We start from the raw sequence: 21,491 nt of genomic DNA, 5'->3' as shown, positions 1-21,491 counted from the left end.
AAAGGGATTGTTCCTGTGAATTAAGGGCACTTCTCCAGCAGAGCACAGTGATAGAAGCTGCCAACACTTCAGAGTATGAAAATGCAGCTCTTGGGAAAGTTGGCATGGTGGTTGTTATCCTTGGAAGAATAAATGTCAAGTTTCTTACTGAGATCCTTCTAAAAGATTTATGCTCCAGAAAAGTGAGGTGCTCAGCCAATTCAATGGGCTCCAGATGGTCAAACAGCAGACAGGCTTTTCCCTTCTTGGATACTTTTTTCCTCTGTGTGACTCTTCTCATCCAGTCATAGGAAGGACTATAAAAGAAGAGTGAGTCCGGTCAATGTGTTGAAAGCCCATTTCACTCAATGGAAGTTATTAACCTACTGACTCTGCAACTCTTGGCTTGCTTCCAGGGACTTGTGCAAAATACATGCCCTGTCTTTCATATTGGAAGAGAAAACCACTGACCAGTTGCCAACAGAACATAAACTTGCAGTTGTTTTTCCAGACAGGGTAGGTTTTGCACTGAACCATCCAGAATTTCTTACTTAGTGTCTTTGTGACCGGCAAGGTCTGGATCATACAGGAAAGGTCGGGGCTAGTATATAAATTTGGGAGTTTATCAGGATATAGGTGGTGATTTAAGACACATGGAAACCACTAGAAGCTGTGGTTCTCATACTTTAGTATAACATGAACTATCTGAAAAGCTTGTTATAAAGACAGAGGCCTGGGCCTCGCTGCCAGAGGTTCTGACTTATTAGGAATGATCCTGAATAATATGTATTTTCACCAAACATCCCTTATAATTCCTGGATCATTCACTATTGATTACTATTGAAGAAGTATTCAATAGTAATCGACAGTGGAAAACAGAGTAGACTATGAATACGTAACACACAAGAACAGACATTTGCAAGATGGATAGCCATATTTAGGATCATCAAATAGTCTTCCCTGTGCAAAGTTACCTAGTTGATATGAAAGTGGCCTAATTGCACCGGTTACCTAATAACTGAGCTAACCAGCTCCTGGCACATCTATGGTCAACCACCATAAGGCTGTTGTTCTGAGGCCAACCTCAGCAGCACCATGGTACAGAGCTTCTCAAGCTTGCATGTGAATCACTTGGGGATCTTTAAAGTGCAGATTCCAATTCAGGTTTAAGGTGGGGCCTAGAGGCTGCATTCCTAATGAGCTCCCAGGTAACGCCAATGCTGCTGGTCTGCAGACCACACTTTAATCAGTGAAGGTGTAAGAGACATTAAGTAGATTCAGACTCAGTAACTAACACTGAGCATCTATTGCATGCCAAATCCTTTCATGTGCTATCTTGTGTCCTTATTGAATGTTCATAATAATCTCATGAGAAAGGTATCGTCCACATTTTACAAATAAAAAAAACTGAAGCTTGGAGAGATGAGCTGTGTCCCATACGGCTTGCGCTCACTGCAGCAAGGCTTTCCTCACAGAAGCAAACCTGGATTCAGGAGTGGGATGGACTCAGAACAAGTGGGGTGATCACTACTTCCTCCCCTAAGTGGTGGACTTATTGGGTGTGAAAGACGTCGGTGCCACTCTTACATGCTGGATATGTCGATGAGGCTGACGTGTTTTTCATATCCTAGTTGACTAGCTACTTCCCGAAATTCCTCAGTCATACGAATCAAACCAAGATCCAAATTAAACTCTGCAGGAAACTTCAGAATCCAGTACCTGAAAGGCATCAAATATTTTTGGCAGCTGGAAGATTGCAAGTTGGTTATCTATGGAAACGATTGTACCGTTTTACAGACTACATTTAACACCAAGTCCAGGACCATCCAGGACCACACTTCAAATTAGCCATCTCCTGTCTCCAAAACCCCATCCATCACATGGAGCCTCTCTCTGCCCTCCTTCAATCTAAAACCGCTCCCACTCATAGCCTCTCTTTCAGTTGAGAGGAAACCCTTCCTTCAATTCATGGTGAGTAGATGGGAATGGGTGTGGTGAGGGAATAGAAGAAAATAAATCCACCCTTTCTAAGAGCTAGTTTCATTCCGTAATCACATTTACTACTACTTGATCTCTAGTCCAAAAGATAGTTCCCCCCACCCCACCCAACAGAGGAGAGCCAATTTTAACAAAGTTGGTGGGAGGGGTATCAGAGTAGAGTCTGTTGTCAAACTAGGTCTGCAGCTTGGGGAAAAGGAAATTGTCCACGATTCCAGAACCAGAAACTACAAGAAATTAAATTTGTAAATATATTTACCTCATGAAGTAGCAGATCTTTAATCGAAATTCATTGCAGCTTTCTCCAGTGGCATTTCGATACGTAAACCAGTTAAAGAAAAAAAATCCTTGCACCTCCTTTCCTTTGCACACCCCTGCAGCTGTGCCCTCAATGTATACCAATTCCTAATAAGAGGACCATGCTGGGGTTATATAGACACTCAAATACGGAGAGAAGTGGCCTCTGATGACTTCCACACTGAACAATTGAAACTTGATTTATTATAGCTCTGGAATGCATTTTTTTGGTCTGAAGAAGAAGCCACTTACAGGATTAGTTTTGCCTTCCTCCACACTTATTAACCAATAACTGCCAACTGTAATTACAAATAGTCTGGCAACTATACATAATTAAAGTTGGTAGTACAGAGAAACACTACATTGTTTTGAGATGGAGTCTCGCTCTGTTGCCCAGGCTGGAGTGCAGTGGCACGATCTCGGTTCACTGCAAGCTCTGCCTCCCGGGTTCACACCACTCTCCTGCCTCAGCCTCCCTAGTAGTGGGAACCCGCCAACATGCCTGGCTAATTTTTTGTATTTTTAGTAGAGACGGGGTTTCGCCGTGTTAGCCAGGATGGTCTTGATCTCCTGACCTTGTGATCCGCCCACCTCGGCCTCCCAAAGTGCTGGGATTACAGGTGTGAGCCACCGCGCCTGGCCGAGAAACACTATTTTAACCAAAAAGATTTTGTATTTAGGATTAATGCCTTATACAGTTATGCACCACATAACAACGTTTCAGTCAATGAAGGACTGCATATGTGACAGTGGTCCAATAAGATTATAGTGGGATTGAAAAATTCCTATTGCCTGGTGACATGGTAGCCAGCATAATGTTGTAACCCAATGCATTACTCATGTGTTTGTAGTGATGGTGGTGTAAACAAACCTGCTGTTGTGTGAGTCATATAAAAGTCTAGTGTGCACAGTTATGTATAGTATATGATACTTGAGAATAAATGACTGTTATTGGTTTATGTATTTACTATATTATTTTTGTTGTAATTTTAGAGTACTCCTTTTACTTAAAAAATTAAAAAGTTAACTGTAAAACAGCCTCAGCAGGTTCTTCAGGACCTATTCCAGAAGAAGGGATTGTTATCATAGGAGATGACCAGCTCCATGCCTGTTACTGCTCTTGCAGACACCTTCCAGGGGAACAAGAGATAGAGGTGGAAGACAGTGATATTGATGATCCTGAGCCTGTGTAAACCTAAACCTAGGCTAATGCGTGTGTTTCTGTCTTTGCTTTTAACGAAAAAAGTTTAAAAAGTAAAAAAAAAAATTTAAATAGAGTAAGTTTGTAGAATAAAGATATTAAGAAAGAAAATATTTTTTACAGCAGTGCAATATATTTGTGTTTTAAGGTGTATATTACAAAAGGACTAAAAAGTTTTTAAAGGTTTATAAAGTATAAAAGTTACAGTAAGCTAAGGTTAATTTATTATTGAGGAAAGAAAAATATTTTTATAATTTGGTGTAGCCTAAGTGTATAGTGTCTATAAAGTCTACAATATTGTACACTAATGTCCTAGGCCTTCACATTCACTCTCCACTCACTCACTGACTCACCCTGAGCGGCTTCCAGTCTTGCAAGCTCCATTCATGATAAGCACCCTATACAGGTGTACCACTTTTTATCTTTTATACCATATTTTTACTGCACCTTTTCTATGTTTAGATACACAAATACCCACCATTGTGTTACAGTTGCCTATAGAATTCAGTACAGCGACATGCTGTACAGGTTTGTAGTCCAGGACCAATAGGCTGTATCATATAGCCTAGGTGTGTAGTAGGCTACAGCATCTAGGCTTGTGTGAGTGCACTCTATGATGTTTGCACAATCATGAAATCATCGAATGATGAATTTCTTAGAATGTATCCCCGTCGTTATGTTATGTGTAACTGTATGGGTACTCTAATTTCTTCTTTAATATTTGAAAATGTCATTTTCAGGTATATTAATACTCAAGTTGTGTTATTTACTTGTAAGCGTATTTATTCATATTCTTTTTAACAAATATTTATTGAGCTTGTGTATATGCCAGGCACTGTGGATATAGCATGAGCAAGGAATCCAAAGGGAGGAAAGTTTATAGAAATGTCGATTCACAGGCAGTCTTCAACTTTCCACATTAAACGTTACTATGCCTAAATATCCCTTTTTATTTGTGTTTCATGCATTGGTGGCCATGCTAAGGGTGAGAATGCTGTTGGTGGGTACATTCTTTGGACAATGTCTAGGTTGTCAGGAATATGGCCAGACTGAGTCAATGCCCTCCATCCTTACCTATTTTCTACACCTCAACAGTGGAGTCATATGACCCTTGGACCACTGGGAGCTAGGATCTTGCTCACTTCCACAGACCTTATAGACTGTCTAATATCCTTTTCTGCTCTGAGGTTGTGAGGAGGATGAAGAGAAGAAGTAGAAAGTGGAGGAAGCTTGAACTGAACAGGTGGACACCCTACTGGCTCCAGAAGCCTTGGCAGGCCCTAATAACACTTGATGGTGCCTCTCCCTCTAAGGCTGTGCCTCTCTCTCTAAGGCTCCCCCTCCCTGTAGGGGTTCTCACTCATCTCCAGGGCCTCATGGGCTTGAAGAAGGCAGAGACTGCAGGCACTGACATTAGAGATTGTATAATAAAAGCATTGGCTCTCAGGGAATAGAACCTTTTACAAATGGGAGACTGCATTTTCAGTCATTTGGCTTTCAACCACTTTTCTGGACTGCATTATGTAGAGAACTGGTAGACTGCTAAAAGCCTTCATTACGGAATGGTGTTTCTAACCATGTGGGATTTTTTTGTTTTCATTTCAGAAGAAAATCTAAAATTAGTATCAGTCAACAAATTATAATAAGTCTGCTAGAATGTTCATTGTGTCTTGGCAGCAAGGGGAGATGTGAAAACTAAATTGATGTTTGTGCCCAAGTAAGAGCATATTATTTTGGCTGTATTTCCATATGATTAAGCTGCGTCCTCTATGCCCACCATTTTGCCATCCCAGAAGAAACAAATTTGGTCTTGAATCATTGTTAAATATTCTCTCATTGTTCTAATAACAGAAATGTTTAAGACAAGTTAGAAACATCCAGCCTACAGTTCCTGCTTCATTTTACATCTTAGTGATTATTTTCAAGTACAGCCAAAACATCCAGATGGAGAGTCAACTATCTGGTCTATCATCCAGATGTGTTTTGTCTAGACATCTATATATATTCACAAAACAGCTGGATAACCAAAGACTATTTATTCATCTTAATTTACTGGCTTTGGATAGACACTCTATCTAAATACAGAGCTTGATTTATGATTGTAAAAATTACACAGTAGTTGAAAAGATATATGCAGAGAAGTTTTTCTGCCAATTCAGTGGAAGATAAATACCATCGGTGCATCAGTAGAACTATTCTTGGCAAATAACTATTATCCAGCTCTCCATTGTCATCTGTTAGAAAAATAAAACAAGAAGTGAGGAGATAATAGTGCTATTCTTTACTTTTTCTAACATCAGTAGAGACGCAGTAGTGTCATATGTCAAAAACTTTTCATAGACAAATGATCTTTTATTTTATTTCTTTTTAAGATGGAGTCTTGCTCTGTCACCCAGGCTGGAGTGCACTGGCATGATCTCGGCTCACTGCAACCTCCACCTCCCGGGTTCAAACATTTTCCTGCTTCAGCCTCCTGAGTAGCTGGGACTACAGGCGCCTGCCACCACGCCTGGCAAATTTTTCTATTTTTAGTAGAGACGGGGTTTCACCATATTGGTCAGGCTGGTCTTGAACTCCTGACCTCATGATCCGCCCACCTCAGCCTCCCAAAGTGCTGGGATTACAGGCGTGAGCCACTGCGCCTGGCCGACCAGTGATCTTTTACCTCCTACTTCGGCTAGTATTTCCTTGCAAGTAAAGGTGGGTGGGTCTTACCCTTCCTCTGGTCTACAGTTGACAGTTTTAGTAAAATTCAGGACAATCAGTTAAATTTGAATTTAAGAGAAACAATGATAAATTTCTGTATTGTAAGTATGTCCCAGGCATTATTTAGGTCATACTAACACTAAAAATGATTGTCAGAAATTCAAATGTAACTGGTCATCCTGTATTTTATCTGGCAACCCTGCACTGGTTTAACTCTGGTTTCTATAGTAATCAATTTAATAAATAACTACTCCCATGTGGGTTGACTTTCTTTGTGCAACGGATAACCCAAAATGCTGAGGTGGATATGAAAACAACAACACAAGGAGCATACAGCTGAAAAGTGTATAATCTAGTAGCAGATATGACGTGTATGAATGTAGAATGTAGTCAATTGTGCTACTCACATTCGTCTGAGTCAAAAGACTGAGTCAAAAGACCAAGAAACAATTACAGAGGCATATGCCATGTGCTATAAGGAATTACAATGGGATATGGGATGGGGGAAGAGGCAAGCAGCATTCCTGACCAAGAAGACTAGGAATGGTACTATGAACATCTGAGAGGGCCCTGAAGCAGAATTTCAGTGAAGGGAATATGACCAATGGATGGTGGTAGAAAGGTGCAGAGAATGTTCCAGAAACATTAAGTAGACAGTTTGACTGGGGTATGAGCTGTGGGCAGTAAAGGGAAAGAAATATGGAGGGCAGTGAAACTGGAGAGACAGACCCGGGTCCATCCGAAAGGCCTTAAATACCAAGGTACAGAGACTGAACTCTGTTCTACAAGCAACTTGCCTCTGAATAGAGGAAAGTGAGAGCATCGAGAGATCCAAAAGAGATGAAAGGAGAAAAGGCTCGTACCAAACATCTCAATGCAAGTGCACAGCAGTTCATCTAATGTTGCTGCTTTCCCAAGGCCACTTGATCCCATGGTTATTTAGCCGTTGTCAAAAAACTAGAGACATTTTCAGCATCAGATAGACCATCTCCATAATCATGCAAGTCAGCGATGTTAGTGCCTAGTGGTGACCTGTCCTTAGTTGTACTTCAAGAAAACTCTAAAAAAAAAGAAAAAAGAGAGAAAGTTATTAGACTAGAGTTCAGACCCCACTAGAGCATCACTTTCCTACCTGAAAAGATAATGACTTCCATAGACTGTATCTTTGTACAAGAAAAGTATCATAGTGACTGAGATTACATCAACCTTTTATGATGCCAAAATACCTGCTAAGCTGTTCTCGGGGATGGATGCTGCTTGGAGACCATGGAAATGTTCCCTGTTATATACCATCCCACTTCACTGCTGAAATTTTTTAATGCAATGTTTTATACTTTCCTTATATCCTTTTTTTTGATTGTTTTTGTTCTTGTTTTTGAGACAGAGTCTCACTTTGTCACCCAGGCTGGAGTACAGGAGTGCAGTAGTGCGATCTCGGCTCACAGCAGCCTCGACCTCCCGGGTTCAAGCAATTCTCCCACTTCTGACCCCCAAGTAGCTGGGACTACAGACACACACCACCACTCCTGGCTATTTTTTGGGTTTTTTTTTTTTTTTTTTTTTTGTAGAGATGGGGTTTTACCATGTTGCCCAGGCTGGTCTCAAACTCCTGAGTTCAAGCAATCTACCTACCTCAGCCTTTCAAAGTGCTAGGACTACAGGTGTGAGCCACTGTGCCCGGCCACCTTTCCTCATGTTCTTAAGTGATAAGATATTCAAGAATATTATAAATGTTACTTGGTTTAATATTAATAAAAGAATATGTAAGGAAAAAATTTTTAGAAGCAAATATATTTATAAACATCCTCAATGATTACATAAATATTCAACAACTGTAACAGATTCTACTTGCCTGAGAGTAAGATTATTCTCTGCAGTGGTAAAAATACTACTGTTAATTTATTGAACACCCACATTATGTACTATGCACCATTCCGAATGCTTTGCATATATTATTGAACTTGACCTTCACAACAATGCTGTAAGGTAGTAATTATTATTCCCAGTTTACAGATGAGGTGATGGGATTCACAGTGATTTAGCAACTTACCCAAAACCATGCAATTATTAAGGCCTAGAGTCAGGACTCCACTATAAAATAAAGCTTCTGTGTTCCCTTTCTTCTTATTACTTCTACAAGCATGGATATCACAAACCATCATAGTTTTGCCTGCTAATCTAGTGTAAAGGGTATCACTCCTCCACATCATCTCAGAAAGAAGATGTAAGACAGATTATCTGTTACAGAGACAGAAGGAAAATGTGAGGATGAGAGCTATCCCACTTGCCAGCACTGTCATGGGGAAAACGTGATTGGCAATAGCCTCTTATAGTTGCTTATACTCAAAAGCATCGCTGCTGGATAGACATTATCACTTTATTTTACAGAGCAGGTCCTTGATGCCAGGTCCCCATAGGACTTGGAGCAGGAGGGAGGCTGTCATGTTGTAAGACATTTATCCACTTTAGACATTTTAGTAGGTAAATGCAGCCATTGAGGATTCATCTCGTGAGCTGTTTAAAGTCAATGTCTATTTTACTCTTGAACTTTATTTATTCAACTGGCAATCATTGAGCACCTGACCTATGCCAGGAACTTGGTTAGGCATTGAGGCTGCCAAGATGAACAAATCATTGTCCCATTCTTACCTTCAACAGGCTCATAGTCAACTTCAGAAAACAAACATGTGAATGAATAGGAAAAAATACCTAATGTCCATATGTATGGTTGTATTAGTTCAGTGAGACCACTGGAGTGACATTGGAATGAGTCTGTTCACCAGGCACATAACTCTGGGGAAAAAATGTTTGCCCTCTATTAATTCTGTGAAAGAACCAGATTCTTGTGCTGAAGGTACCACTCTTAGAACATAAAATAAAGGGTTATTTCAAGTGTTCAATAAAAACAGCAGAAACGCTGGATCAAACGCTTTCCCAATTCTGCTGCTGAAATGATTTGTGAAAGCAGATTATTAAAGTCATCTGGAACTAACTTTTTTATATCTTTTAACAAAGTTACCTTATCTGTAAGGCCTTTCCTGACCTATTTAAAACAACGCACCTCTCAGCTCTCACCCACCTCTCACTTGGCATGTCCTACTGCCTTTCCTGGATTTATTTTTCTTCATTACACTTAACACCATCTGACAAACTATATATTTTACTTGTTTATTTGTTTTTAAATCTCTATAGTGTCATAAACATAAGCTCCAAGATTGTAGGGATTTTTGTGTTTGTTCTCTGGTATACACCTTAACACCTAAGGTTTTGCTTCTCACATAAAAGATACTCAAAAATTATTCACTAAATTAATAAACGAGTGGATTAATGGGTGAGGAAATGAATATCATGAAACTTGTCAGAGGTTTGTCATTGAATATGAGTATATTTATGTGAGTGTGTATAGATACCATACATTTTTAAGAGACTTTTTGAAGTTTGTTTACTAAATCAGCTTTAAGTAAACATCACTGGGACAAAAATTTCTGCCAGTTTTCTAAACTTAATAGAATCTGCCTATATTCATCATTAGAACTTGCCTTTTCCAAGACATTCTGGGGCAGAACTTCTCTGATTCCTCTAATGTAAACTCTATCAGTACCCTTAAAAGTCAAGATTGAACAATTAACAAGTTTGATTACCTTCATGTGTATACAGACATTTTTTTTTAGCCTGTTACTCACGGAAGAGTAGACATATTACTTAGAACAAATAGGCCTAGACTAAACTGGTTTCTCAATTCAAAACCAAAATTACTCAGCTGAGCTGTCTGGGGAAGGTGTTCACATCCCCATAAGGGGTTAGAGATAACCTGGAACCAAAGACTCATCACCACGTTTAGGGTTATATTTCTGATCTGCAAAGAAACTGGCACACGACGGGCCAGGTGGGCCGGGCTATCAGGTTACAATCTGTTTCTGCAATCAGTAGATGTGTCTGAGTCTCTGCTCCACCTTCTGTCACCTGCACATTTACCTGAGATCTCATTTCCTATGTGTGGACATTATTGTGTCTACAACTACCTTTTTCAGAATAAGGCTTCTTTATCACAAAAGCAATATACACTTATTATTTAAAACAGGACATTAAGGAAAAAGTTATCCCTAATCTCATCATACAAAGATAACTCCTATTAACATCATAGCACGTTTCTTTTAGTTTCTCTAGGCATATTTAATTTTTATTAGAATTCTTACATAATTTATGACAATTTAAAGAAATACTTACCTGTTGTTTCCATACAGATACAGTTCCAAATCTGAAAGAATTTTAAGGGCAGCTAGCATCATTGGGAAATGCATGGAAGAAGCAGTCTGTAGAACTGGTTTATTCAACCTGAATGATAAGTATTTTGGAGAACCTGACAAAAGAACAGAAAGAAACCCCCATATAGAATTAGATCATGATAACCCCAAAGAATCCACATTGTGTTAAAGCATTTTCAAAAACTTTGAGTTATAGGTGGTATTTGAGATTTTGTCTAAACTTCACCCACAACATCAATTAACAAGGGCAAATATTCAAAATAGTTATTTGGTAAGACAATTTTTTTTTAAATCAAGTAAGCTTTTTGCAGCCTATTAAAAACCCACATATGCAACAAAACCAAGTTCTATACACATAGTATAAACTACTGTTTCATGCAAATATATCAGTGGATTACTCATTAAGAATTTCCAAACATTGACTTTGAAATGTTAGTAAATCCTTAAAACAGTCTGTGGTCATGATCACTAAACTCTGACCCTAAATCACTACTGATTGTCTCAACATGAATGTCAATGTTATTTTAGAGCAGGTTGTTTAGTCTCCCAATGGGGCCTTAAGAACTTGCTGTTTGTTTAGGACTTGCTGTGGTGTTGATAGGTACTCTCTGGCGGCCATGAAAATTATTGTTCTCCAGCATATACATTTTCTCCCAAGTCTGAAAGGGACACAATAAGCCAAATTTCTCCCAGGGTTTGAATTATTTCTAAAAGAAAAGTGTTATTTTTAAAGGGCAATAGAGTTTTGTTGGGTGTGATTTCAAAGGCTACAATATGTTCTTGTAGCAAAAGGACGTTCATTAACATGACTTGTGAAGCCTCTATTGTCAAAAAACATCCTTCTGAGGTTGCCTAGGACACTAAGAACAGTGCTCCCAATTTTAGAAATAATAAAAGGTAGCCAATTCCATGTAACTGTTCATTAACAGATATAAATGAGCATACCAGGCTCTTGACTCAGAACCTCTCCATTAAAAAAAATCGGGTTTCAACATTAGGTAACTGAATGGGGAAAGTCTGACTTATCTCTGAGTAAAATTCCATAATGCTGCGTACTTTACTAGACTGTTTAAGGAGTTAGTGAGGTCACATAAAGTGAATCCATCACGGAGCCTGCAGAACGCTGAGTGCTCAGGGAAAGGGTCTCCTTTTACCTGCACTACTTCTTCCCCTCCCATATTAAAAGTCTTTTAAGTTGAGGCCTGAAGTAGAGGACCAATTTGTAGAAGCGAAAGGGAGAGAGGTGTTCATTTAGAGAAGAGAAAAGATATTCGAAGAAAAAATACGATGACACTGGAGCACCTATTAGGGGGCCAAGCAGCCTCACCAGCAAGGGACTCCAATTCTCAAAGGTTCTCAAGCCAAAGTTAGGTCATGACTGTCAGAGATGTTGTAGACTAAATTCCCAGACGGTATCTAGGAAGTATGCCAAAATGACAGGGAAGCTTTCTCTTGGCTCTAGAATTGTAGGATTTATAAGGTGAAATATTGTAACTAGTAAGTATTCAACAAATCGTTTTGAAATGATGTTGGCCATATTAGAACTTTCAACAATTGTCTTGTCTATCACATTGTCTCTATTCCAAGATAAAAGAATTTCTTGAAGATCCTTCCCTGCCAATGGCAGTTATTATCTTTATGCATAAATGACTACATAAATATCTTTACATTCATATGACCTCCATATGGAGACAAAGAGGTTTCTCTAAATGACTAATCCTTCATGAATACAAGTGTTAATTGTTACAAACCTTGAAGTCTTAAAGATTAATGCCAAAGATGTCAGCATTCATTGTTCTGGAAATATGCAAACTTAATTTCTCTTTATCACCACAGACATGAGATTTTTTTTTAAAGTGCTGTGATTATATTACCTGATACTCCATAGGAGAATTAAGATTGAGGTTAGTAAATGAAATAATAAAAACTCTGAAAGACAATTAATTTATTTGATAAATACTTACTGAGGATCTACTAGACACCAGACACCGAACAGAATACTAGAGTGGCTGGTAGAAGGGGTTGGTGTCGGGGAAGTGAAGGATAAATGGATAAGCAAGACAGATACAATCCTTGCCTCTATAGTCTAGCAAAGAATTAAAGGAACAATGACAATAAAATATCTTATGGAGCACAGAGCAGGTAGGGAGGGGCACTAATTTAGTCTAGAAGCCTGAGGAGTTTTAGCTTAGTAATGAAGATGAAGTCTTTTCAATTATGAGAAATCGAAAAGACATTTACAATGACTAAAGTGTTATGGCAAGAGATGAGACTAAAACGTCAGTGGAAGTAGCTCATGACAGTATTGTAAGCTTTAGTAAGGAGTATATCCTTTATCCAAAGGGCAACGGGAAGCCATTGTTTGAAAGGAGAATGGCATGATCATATCTGGATTTTTTTTTTTTGAGATGGTCTTGCTCTGTTGCCCAGGCTGGAGTGCAGTGGCATGATCTCAGCTCACTGCAACCTCCGCCTCCCAGGCTCAAGTGATTCTCCCACCTCAGCCTCCCAAGTAGCTGTGATTACAAGCATGTGCCACCACACCTGGCTAATTTTTGTATTTTTAGTAGAAACGGACATTTCCCCATGTCGGCCAGGCTGGTCTCGAACTCCTGACGTCAAGTGATCCACCCACCTCAGCCTCCCCAAGTGCTGGGATTACACGCATGAGCCACCACACCCTGCCTGATTTTCTTATTATTTCATTTCCAATGGTATCTTAACGTCCTCTTCACCATATCAAGCAAACCTAGGTGAAATGGGAGCTAGGATCTGTGCCCTTGTGAGGACACCACCTAACAAATGCCAGCCTTGCTTTAGTTCTGAGGCTCAGACTTATGGAAAGTGTAACTAGACCATAACAATAGAAACTCATAATTGCTTCTTGAATGCAGGGGAGATTTGCCACAAACATTGTTCCAGAAGTTATCTGAAGTAATTTTAGAAACATGACATGGGTAGATGATACAATAGCCCAAAAAGCAAGGAACACTAAACTTCCTCTCAAAAACAACAACAATAAAAAACAAACAAATACCTCCAGGAGAAGAAAAACATCAGCCTTCTACTCTTGACAGAAATAATCCTGATAATTCTGGTTCCTTTCTTCTCTTTTCACAATGGCTTTTGTACATTTTCTCCTCTCGATAAACGTCAGAATGGTATCCATCATACCTTCTGGCAGATGACCGTGTCTCCTTTTTAGAGTAAATGGAAGTTGCCAGACAGAAACTTCCTTGATTTCCTTCCATAAAAATGAGAAATTTACCCACATGGATGCCCTTTTTGGGGGGTCTCTCCTGCTATTGCATTGAAAGAAGTGGCCCTCTTCTTTATCCAAGGTCAATCCCTCCACCTGTGCATGGATCCCTTACTCTTGTCCTCCCAGGGACCACGTTACGTGAATTAACTTCTCACTCTTCTGCCTCTTCCTCCAATATTTTTTTTCCTGCTAATTCTTAGCACTTAAAGATGCCCAGGTCTTAACTCAGAAGTCCGTAATGGATATCTAGAAGTTAACTCAAAATTTCCCCTTGATATGATCAAGGGAAATCATTTAAAACAAAATTTCTCCTTGGAATCTCAGGCATCTCTAAATCAATACTGCCAAAGTGAACTCATCATTTTCCTCCCACAAACTTGTTTCTCCTCCCCTCCACTCTCAATTTCTCAATCGCAGGGGAATGGCACCATCAGCCAACCAAATATCTAGCTAGAAATCTGGGAATTATCCTTGATTCTGATCATTCCCCATAGACAATGGATCAGTAAATCTTTCTGAATCTATTTTCAAAAGAAATTCTGCCACCAACCACTTCTTTCCCTTCTCCATGGACACATGCTGGTTTAGACAACCATCATCTCTTGCCTGAATGATTTTAACCAATTACTAACTGGTTTCCCCATCCACAGTATAGGTCTTTACTACAATCTATTCTCCATTCTGCAGCTGAAAGAATCTTTTAAAAATCCAGATATGGGCCAGGCACGGTGGCTCACGCCTGTAATCCCAGCACTTTGGGAGGCTGTGGCGGGTGGATCACTTGAGGTCAGGAGTTCGAGACCAGCCTGGCCAACATGGTGAAACCCCATCTCTAATAAAAATACAAGAAGTAGCCAGGCGTGGTGGCACATGCCTGTAATCCCAGCTGCTTGGGAGGCTGAGGCAGGAGAATCGCCTGAACCTGGGAGGTGGAGGTTGCAGGGAGTCGAGATCCTGCTACTGCACTCCTGCCTGGGCAACATAGAGAGACTCAGTCTCAAGAAAATCATTTCTCTCCCATCCTTTGACTTGATCCAAAATATTACATTCTGGTAACTACCACCAGAGCCACCTTTCCTATGATCCCCACCTTCCCCACTAGGCTTTCTGCATCTCTGCCCCACCACTCACACTCTCCAGTGCTCTCATTAACCGAGTCTTGCTCTGTCACCCAGGCTGGAGTGCAGTGGTGTGATCTTGGCTCACTTCAACCTCTGCCCCCCACTTTCAAGCAATTCTCCTACCTCAGCCTTCCGAGTACCTGGGATTACAGGCACGCACCATCATGCCCAGCTAATTTTTGTATTTTTAGTAGAGATGGGGTTTCACCATGTTGGCCAGGATGGTCTGAATTCCTGATCTCAAGTGATCTGCCCACCTTGGCCTCCCAAAGTGCTGGAATTACATGTGTGAGCCACTGTGCCTGGCCTCAGTTGACTATATTTGAAATTATTTGTTTATTTCTGCATTGGTCTTGTTTCTGTTTAAATTTTCCTTCTCATTCCTTTTAAGTTCACTATTCTGTTCTTTGAATTTTTCTTTCTATTTTATTTTCTTCAATCAGGTGTTCTTCCCAGTGTGCTCCACCAAAGTCATACTGTCATCACTGTCAAACTTGTTTCTATCACAAACCTACTGGGATAGTATGAATATAAGAAATGGGCCTGGTGCTTATGGCAAAGTTCATTCATTGTAAATGGACCACAACTGATGACACGAAGACTAAAATCCCCCATATTTATGGATGGTGAGGCAGTATCTCCAAAGGTTATTTAACAATGACAGTAGGAAGGAGCCACACTTAATACTGTAATTTTCAACTCTAAAAGAAATTTTTTGTCCTTCTTGCATTGGATGTGTTTATTTAATGTGATAATAGGATTTTCCTAGATTTAAAAATTTTTGTTGTCTGTTTTATCCTGAAAAGAGATTTCACTAAGTTAATGGGGAATTAATAATCAACATTGTCCTGGATTTTAGAAAATGAAGTAATAACAGCATCTAAAAATACCATTTGTTGGTCGCAACGTAATGTGACAGATATAATGTTGGGAAAATTGCCTATGTTATCTTTCAATCTTTTAACACCCCGAAAGCTAAGGTCTTATTATCTCCATTTCATGGATAAGGAAATTGAGGCCTAAAGAAGTTAAATTACTTGTCCAGTATCATGTTACTAGTTAAGTTGCAAAGCCAAGTCCAACTCCAAAAATTTATGTTTTTCTACTACCCACAAAAATTTTAGCTGTTGTTAAGGCCTGCCCATTAGATCAGTTTCTAGACATTGTCCAGAACAAAGGTTTGTTATTCTCTGTGTTTGGCTGGTAAGCATTCTATCACTGGCCCTATTGTCTGAAAATGAATAACGTTCACTATTACAGCAAGCTTGGCAACTCAGGGAATCACTGGTACCAAGTACTGAACAGAAGTCAATAACCAGCTCAGAGCTCATCTCACAAGGCCTTGTTGCATTTTCTGCTAACAAGTAACAAAGCTTAACTGCATTTTATTTATGTTTTCTTGGTTACTGGTATTGAATATTGGCAACCAAACCAACATATTTACAGCTACCTGACATAAGTTGAACAAGAAATGAGAATCTTAGAGAAGCTTTAGTAATAAATACCATGAAATTCCAAAGTCCCACCAAGGGGGTATTCTCCTAGCATTTGGCTGCAGCCGAACATAGCAGGGAAATGATATATATACATGCTAGACACCTGCAGTTGGATGGCTTCCAGATGGACACATTCAGCCACATTGAAGGATTATGACCTACTATGGCAACTCGAGTGTTCACTTTCCAAATAATGCCTCAAAGTTAAGACCCAGAACTAGGAAACTTGAGCCTCAGAAGTTAAAATTTTAAACTTCGGGAAAATCATTTTTTTAAAGATCAATATTTTCTTCTCTCAAAAATACCAATATTGTATTCCGAAGAATCCTGCTGGCATGGTGGCTCACGCCTGTAATCCCAGCACTTTAAGAGGCTGTGGGCGGATCACCTGAGGTCAGGAGTTCGAGACCAGCCTGACCAACATGGAGAAACCCCGTCTCTACTAAAAATACAAAATTAGCCGGGAGTGGTGGCTCATGCCAGTAATCCCAGCTACTCAGGAGGCTGAGGCAGGAGAATCACTTGAGCCCGGGAGGCAGAGGTTGTGGTGAGCCAAGATCGCGCCATTGCACTCCAGCCTGGGTAACAAGAGCAAAACTCCATCTCAAAGAAAAAAAAAAAAAAAATCCTGTCTGCGGTCCTAATGCTCTGGAAGTACCTGGTCTCAAATTCCCTGAAATAAAGTCACATTCCCTTACTCCTTTGTTGTTCCACTTAATTCTGAGTGGATTTGATGCTGATAATAATGGTGGTGGTGGTGGTGGTGGTGGTGATGATGATGATGATGATGGTGATGATATGGAGGAGGAGGAAGAGGAGGAATCATTTAGGTGCTCTTCATGTTGGTCACAGTGTTGATATTTTTCCCCAACAAACTCTGGGAGGCCAGGCTCCTCCCAAACAATCCAGCAATAACTAAAATGTGGCTAAATCTTGCTTTTTACTTAATTCTCACCAAAAAATGCAATGAGGTCTTGTGAGATGAGCTCTGAGCTGGTTATTGACTTCTGTTTAGTACTTGGTGCCAATACCAACGTGCTCAGCCTCATGTGCTCACTAGGAACAGGAAGGCATTTTTAACAACTGCATAAGTAAAATTCTTAGGGGTCTTCCCACTGCATCCAGATGACAATCTCCAAGGACAGAATCTACACAAAAGAGGCTCCAAGGGAATGAAGACATTGCATGGAAAGCCTCTAAAAAGCAAGAGAATGTGAACAGAAGGCACAGCCTGGACTACAAAATCTCTCCTAAACTACCATCACTCTAGGCTGGGAGTGGAAGCTGACTGTCGCTAAAAACAAGGGAAAGGATTTGAAAACAAGAATTTTAAGTTGCTCCACAGGAATGCAGCAAGAAGCACTAACATAATGAAAGACTGTCTTTAAATGGACCTCCAGGTTTTCAGAGAAAGGCATTAGTTTGGCTGGGCACAAAAGCCAATGTTTATTGTCTATTTAGCATTAAGCACAATGTTTATAGCAATAGGCTGGAGGTGTAGAGAGCCCATTCTCAACAGCATACAATCCCATGCGGGAGACATAATATAAATCAGTTATTATAAACCAATGAGTCCATTAAGTCTGGTGACAGAGACAGATGCCCAGGGCATTGCGGGAGCACAGAAATGGGACCAAATTCCACCCAAGGAGATCTAGGAGGCCTTCTTGACAGGAAAGATACTAAGCTTTATGGGTCACAAAATTACAATAGAAAATACAGGCTAAGTCCAATAGTGTCAGACAGTAAGGTGGTTGGAAATATCTGAACATGATTCCAGAATTAGGCATAGGATAGACATATGCAATTTGCAATCCAGAAATTTATCACTACGTGAAAAATGAATAGGAATACACATGAGACAACAATATTTAGATTAAAAGCTGATGACAGAGAAAATGATTGGGGTCAGGTAGGGATATATTGAGTTCTGAACCACCTTTGGATTTTTTTAAAGGCACAAATAAATGAAAGGATTGCAAAAAGCATAGGGGTTGCACAATGCTGCTTTATTTTTATTATTAATTTTATTATCCAGTTTCACTATTGACAGTGATAAGCTTTAATAAATAGATTTCCTTTACCATTTAGACGCTAACTTTGTATATATAGATACTGAAGATGTAATATGAATTTCTCTTTTCTAAGAGAAACTGTACTATGTTATCATCTAAGTGAAAACATTTTGCTCCTATTTAGAAACCCATGTGTTTATAGTACTCTTTTATGGGATGGTAATGTCTCAGTTTGAAATTACTTCTGAAATCAGGGATTTGGAGCTAGACTTTTTATTGGAATCAATTAACGGTAAAGTACAGGAACCAAAAAAAAAAGTGTGTTTAAAATTATTTCTGTGCTCTCAAATAAAGTTACACAGCTTGAGGCCCATAATTAGAAGGCTCCACTTAATAACTTTGTCATTCCCTTTTGTTTCAGATGTTTTTCCTGCAGCAAATGGTCCTTCTTTTCTCTAAAAGAAAAACAAATCTCAAGAGCCAACGATATGTCTTCCTCCCATCTAAGACATCAACTAATTTCACCTTACTCCTGAAATGAAATCACAGTCCATACCTACAAAAAAAGAAAATATAACTGACTAGAAAATTTATGTAGTATCTTAGGTCCCATTTAACTTCTCTGAGGCTCACTTTCATCATCTCTGACATGAGATAAATACTACGACTCTGCCCTCCTTATCAGAACAAAAAAAATTCATTTCAAAAATGTTTTAAGAGCATAAATCACAGTGAGAAAAAAGGAAGTCCTAAAATTGTGAAATGTTCCCAACTAAATTTGTAAAGTGGTTGAAATTTAGAATATATATTTTCCATTAGAACAATATTACAAATGGATTAATAACAGATTTACATATGGGAAACAGTCTGTCAAAATGCTAAAAGAGAACTTTGGGAGTTCTTAAGAATTTTAGAGGTTGATAGACTGGTTTGCTACCATGCCAGATTAGCTTTCAGAAATGCCACAACTCTGAGAAACTAGGGTTTCTGATGTGTATTTTGGACTCATTAGTGGATCTAGAGAGACAGAGAATGAGAAAGAAAGAGGGAGAAGAAGCTAGCTTTTCATAAAGTAAAGGTTAAAGAGTTAGAGGAAGGCTGGGCATGGTGGCTCACACCTGTAATCCCAGCACTTTGGGAGGCCAAGGCGAGTGCATCACCTGAGGTCAGGAGTTCGGGATCAGCCTGAACAATATGGTGAAACGCTGTCTCTAATAAAAATACAAAAAAATTAGCTGGGTGTGGTGGTGCGTGCCTGTAGTCTCAGCTACTTGGGAGGCTGAGGCAGGAGAATCCCTTGAACCCGGGAGGCGGAGGTTGTAGTGAGCAGTGAGCCGAGATTCTGCCACTGCACTCCAGCCTAGGCAAAAGGGCAGCAGAGAGAAATTCCATCTCAAAAAAAAAAAAAAGAAAGAAAAAAAGAAAGAGACAGTTAAAAGAGACCAAGGAATAGGAATAAGGATGTTGTTGGTAGGTTGTAAAAGGAGGAATTAATCAATTGTAATTTACTAAAGTGTGAGCAAATTAAGACAAATGAAGGGAAGCCCAGAGTGAACTAATTTCCCTTGACCTACCATGTGAAGGTATCTACACCCCCCAACCCCCACCCACCTCCACACACAGAAACAGCACCATGCCTTTCTTCTCTCTTCACCAGTTCCTTGGTGTAACTGTCTAGAGTTCATGCGTCTTACCACTTCTCCTTCCTCTAGCTTGTAACTCCCCTTGTATTTCCTCTACATAGATAAACGTGAGGTGTCTTCTGGCCAAAACCAAACACTAACAAACAAACAAAATTTAGCAACCCTCTACTGGCCATCTCTCCCATCCCTCACAGCCAAGTAGAATTTGCTGGTTCTATTTGATCCTCTCTTCAGACCACCCAAATCAAGCTCTGTCTAACTCCCCTTCTACTTCCTGCCCTCATACTCTATTCAAACTACTCTGGCAAAAGTCATTACACCCGCTAAGCTCTCTTCATTGTCTTCTTATGCTAAGGCTTAGCCGCAGTGTAGTACTTCTTGACCACACCCTCCCTTAAATTCTCCTTTTGGTTGGTTTTCCTGGCAACATCTCTTCCCTGGTTTTTCTGCCTCTGGTCATACCTCATCGTCTCATCTGCAGACTCCTTTCCTACTGCTGGCCTCTAAACTGCCAACGGTTCTCATGTCTCCATGCTGAACTCATCCACAGAAGTGGCTTCAGCTACCACCTCTACGTTGATGACTCCAAACCAAACAGAGACAAGCTACACGCAAACTGCAGAGGAAGGGAGTAGGGTTTGGAGACAGGTGGACTTGGGATTGCAACCTAGCTCTTCTACTTACTAGCATGTGACTTTGGACAAGTTTTACTTAACATTTGGGTGAGTTTTCGTATCTCACCCTCATCCATCGCTAGTGGAAATGTAAAATGGTACAGTCACTTTGGAAATGAGTTAGGTAGCTCCTCAAAAACTTAAACATAGAGTTATCATATGATCTAGCAAATTCATTCCTAGGTACATACCCAAGAGAATTGAAAAATGTTCATAGCAGTATTATTCATAATTTCCCCAAAGTGAAAACAACCCAAATGTCTATCAATCGACAAATGGATAAACAAAATGAAGTATATCTCCATACAATGGAATATTATTTAATGATAAAAAGGAACAAGGTACTGATACATGCTGCAATATAGATAAACCTTGAAAATGTTATACTAAGTGAAAGAGGCCAGACATAGAAGGCCACATATTGTGCAACTCCATTTATAGAAAATATGTAGAATAGGCAAATCTATAGCGACAGAAAGGAGATTAGTGGTTGCCAGGCACTGAGGGAAGGCAGGAATGGGAATTGACTGCAGTGGGTTCACCGTTTCTTTTTGGAGTGATAAAATTGCTGTCCAATTTGATAGTGCTAGTTGTTGAAGAACCTTGTGAATACACTAAATACCATTGAACTGTGCACTTTATTTTATTTATTTATTTTTTTGAGACGGAGTCTTGCTCCGTTGCCAGGCTGGAGTGCAGTGGTGCGATCTTGGCTCACTGCAACCTCCGCCTCCCAGGTTCAAGCGATTCTCCTGCCTCAGCCACCTGAGTAGCTGGGATTACAGGTGCGCGCCACCATGTCCGGCTACTTTTTGTATTTTTATTAGAGATGGG

The 21,491-nt window shown here is 39.8% G+C and overlaps 1 protein-coding gene across 16 annotated transcripts in view; it reads right to left on the bottom strand.

Moving 5' to 3' along the window:
* The window catches only part of RASGRP3 (RAS guanyl releasing protein 3), a 128,384-nt gene that overhangs the window by 42,481 nt on the left and 64,412 nt on the right, over positions 1-21,491 (bottom strand). For 11 of the 16 annotated variants that reach the window (NM_001349975.2, NM_170672.3, NM_001349978.2 and 8 more), the window contains 6 exons: positions 10,409-10,541; positions 7,045-7,241; positions 5,607-5,709; positions 2,237-2,299; positions 1,567-1,698; positions 149-296 (listed from right to left, as the gene is read on the bottom strand). In NM_001349975.2, the coding sequence (NP_001336904.1) occupies positions 149-296; positions 1,567-1,698; positions 2,237-2,299; positions 5,607-5,709; positions 7,045-7,114 (516 nt within the window). In that variant the 5' untranslated portion in view covers positions 7,115-7,241; positions 10,409-10,541. Of the gene's footprint in view, positions 1-148; positions 297-1,566; positions 1,699-2,236; positions 2,300-5,606; positions 5,710-7,044; positions 7,242-8,231; positions 8,377-10,408; positions 10,542-21,491 lie in introns of those variants that run through there. The other 5 variants (XM_011532746.4, XM_047443877.1, NM_001349976.2 and 2 more) reach the window with 2 other exon arrangements.

Source organism: Homo sapiens, chromosome 2 (genome assembly GCF_000001405.40).
Source record: "Homo sapiens chromosome 2, GRCh38.p14 Primary Assembly".
NCBI lineage: Eukaryota > Metazoa > Chordata > Mammalia > Primates > Hominidae > Homo > Homo sapiens.
The sequence above is the reverse complement of the archived record's forward strand: the minus strand, read 5'-3'. Positions and strand labels throughout refer to the sequence as shown.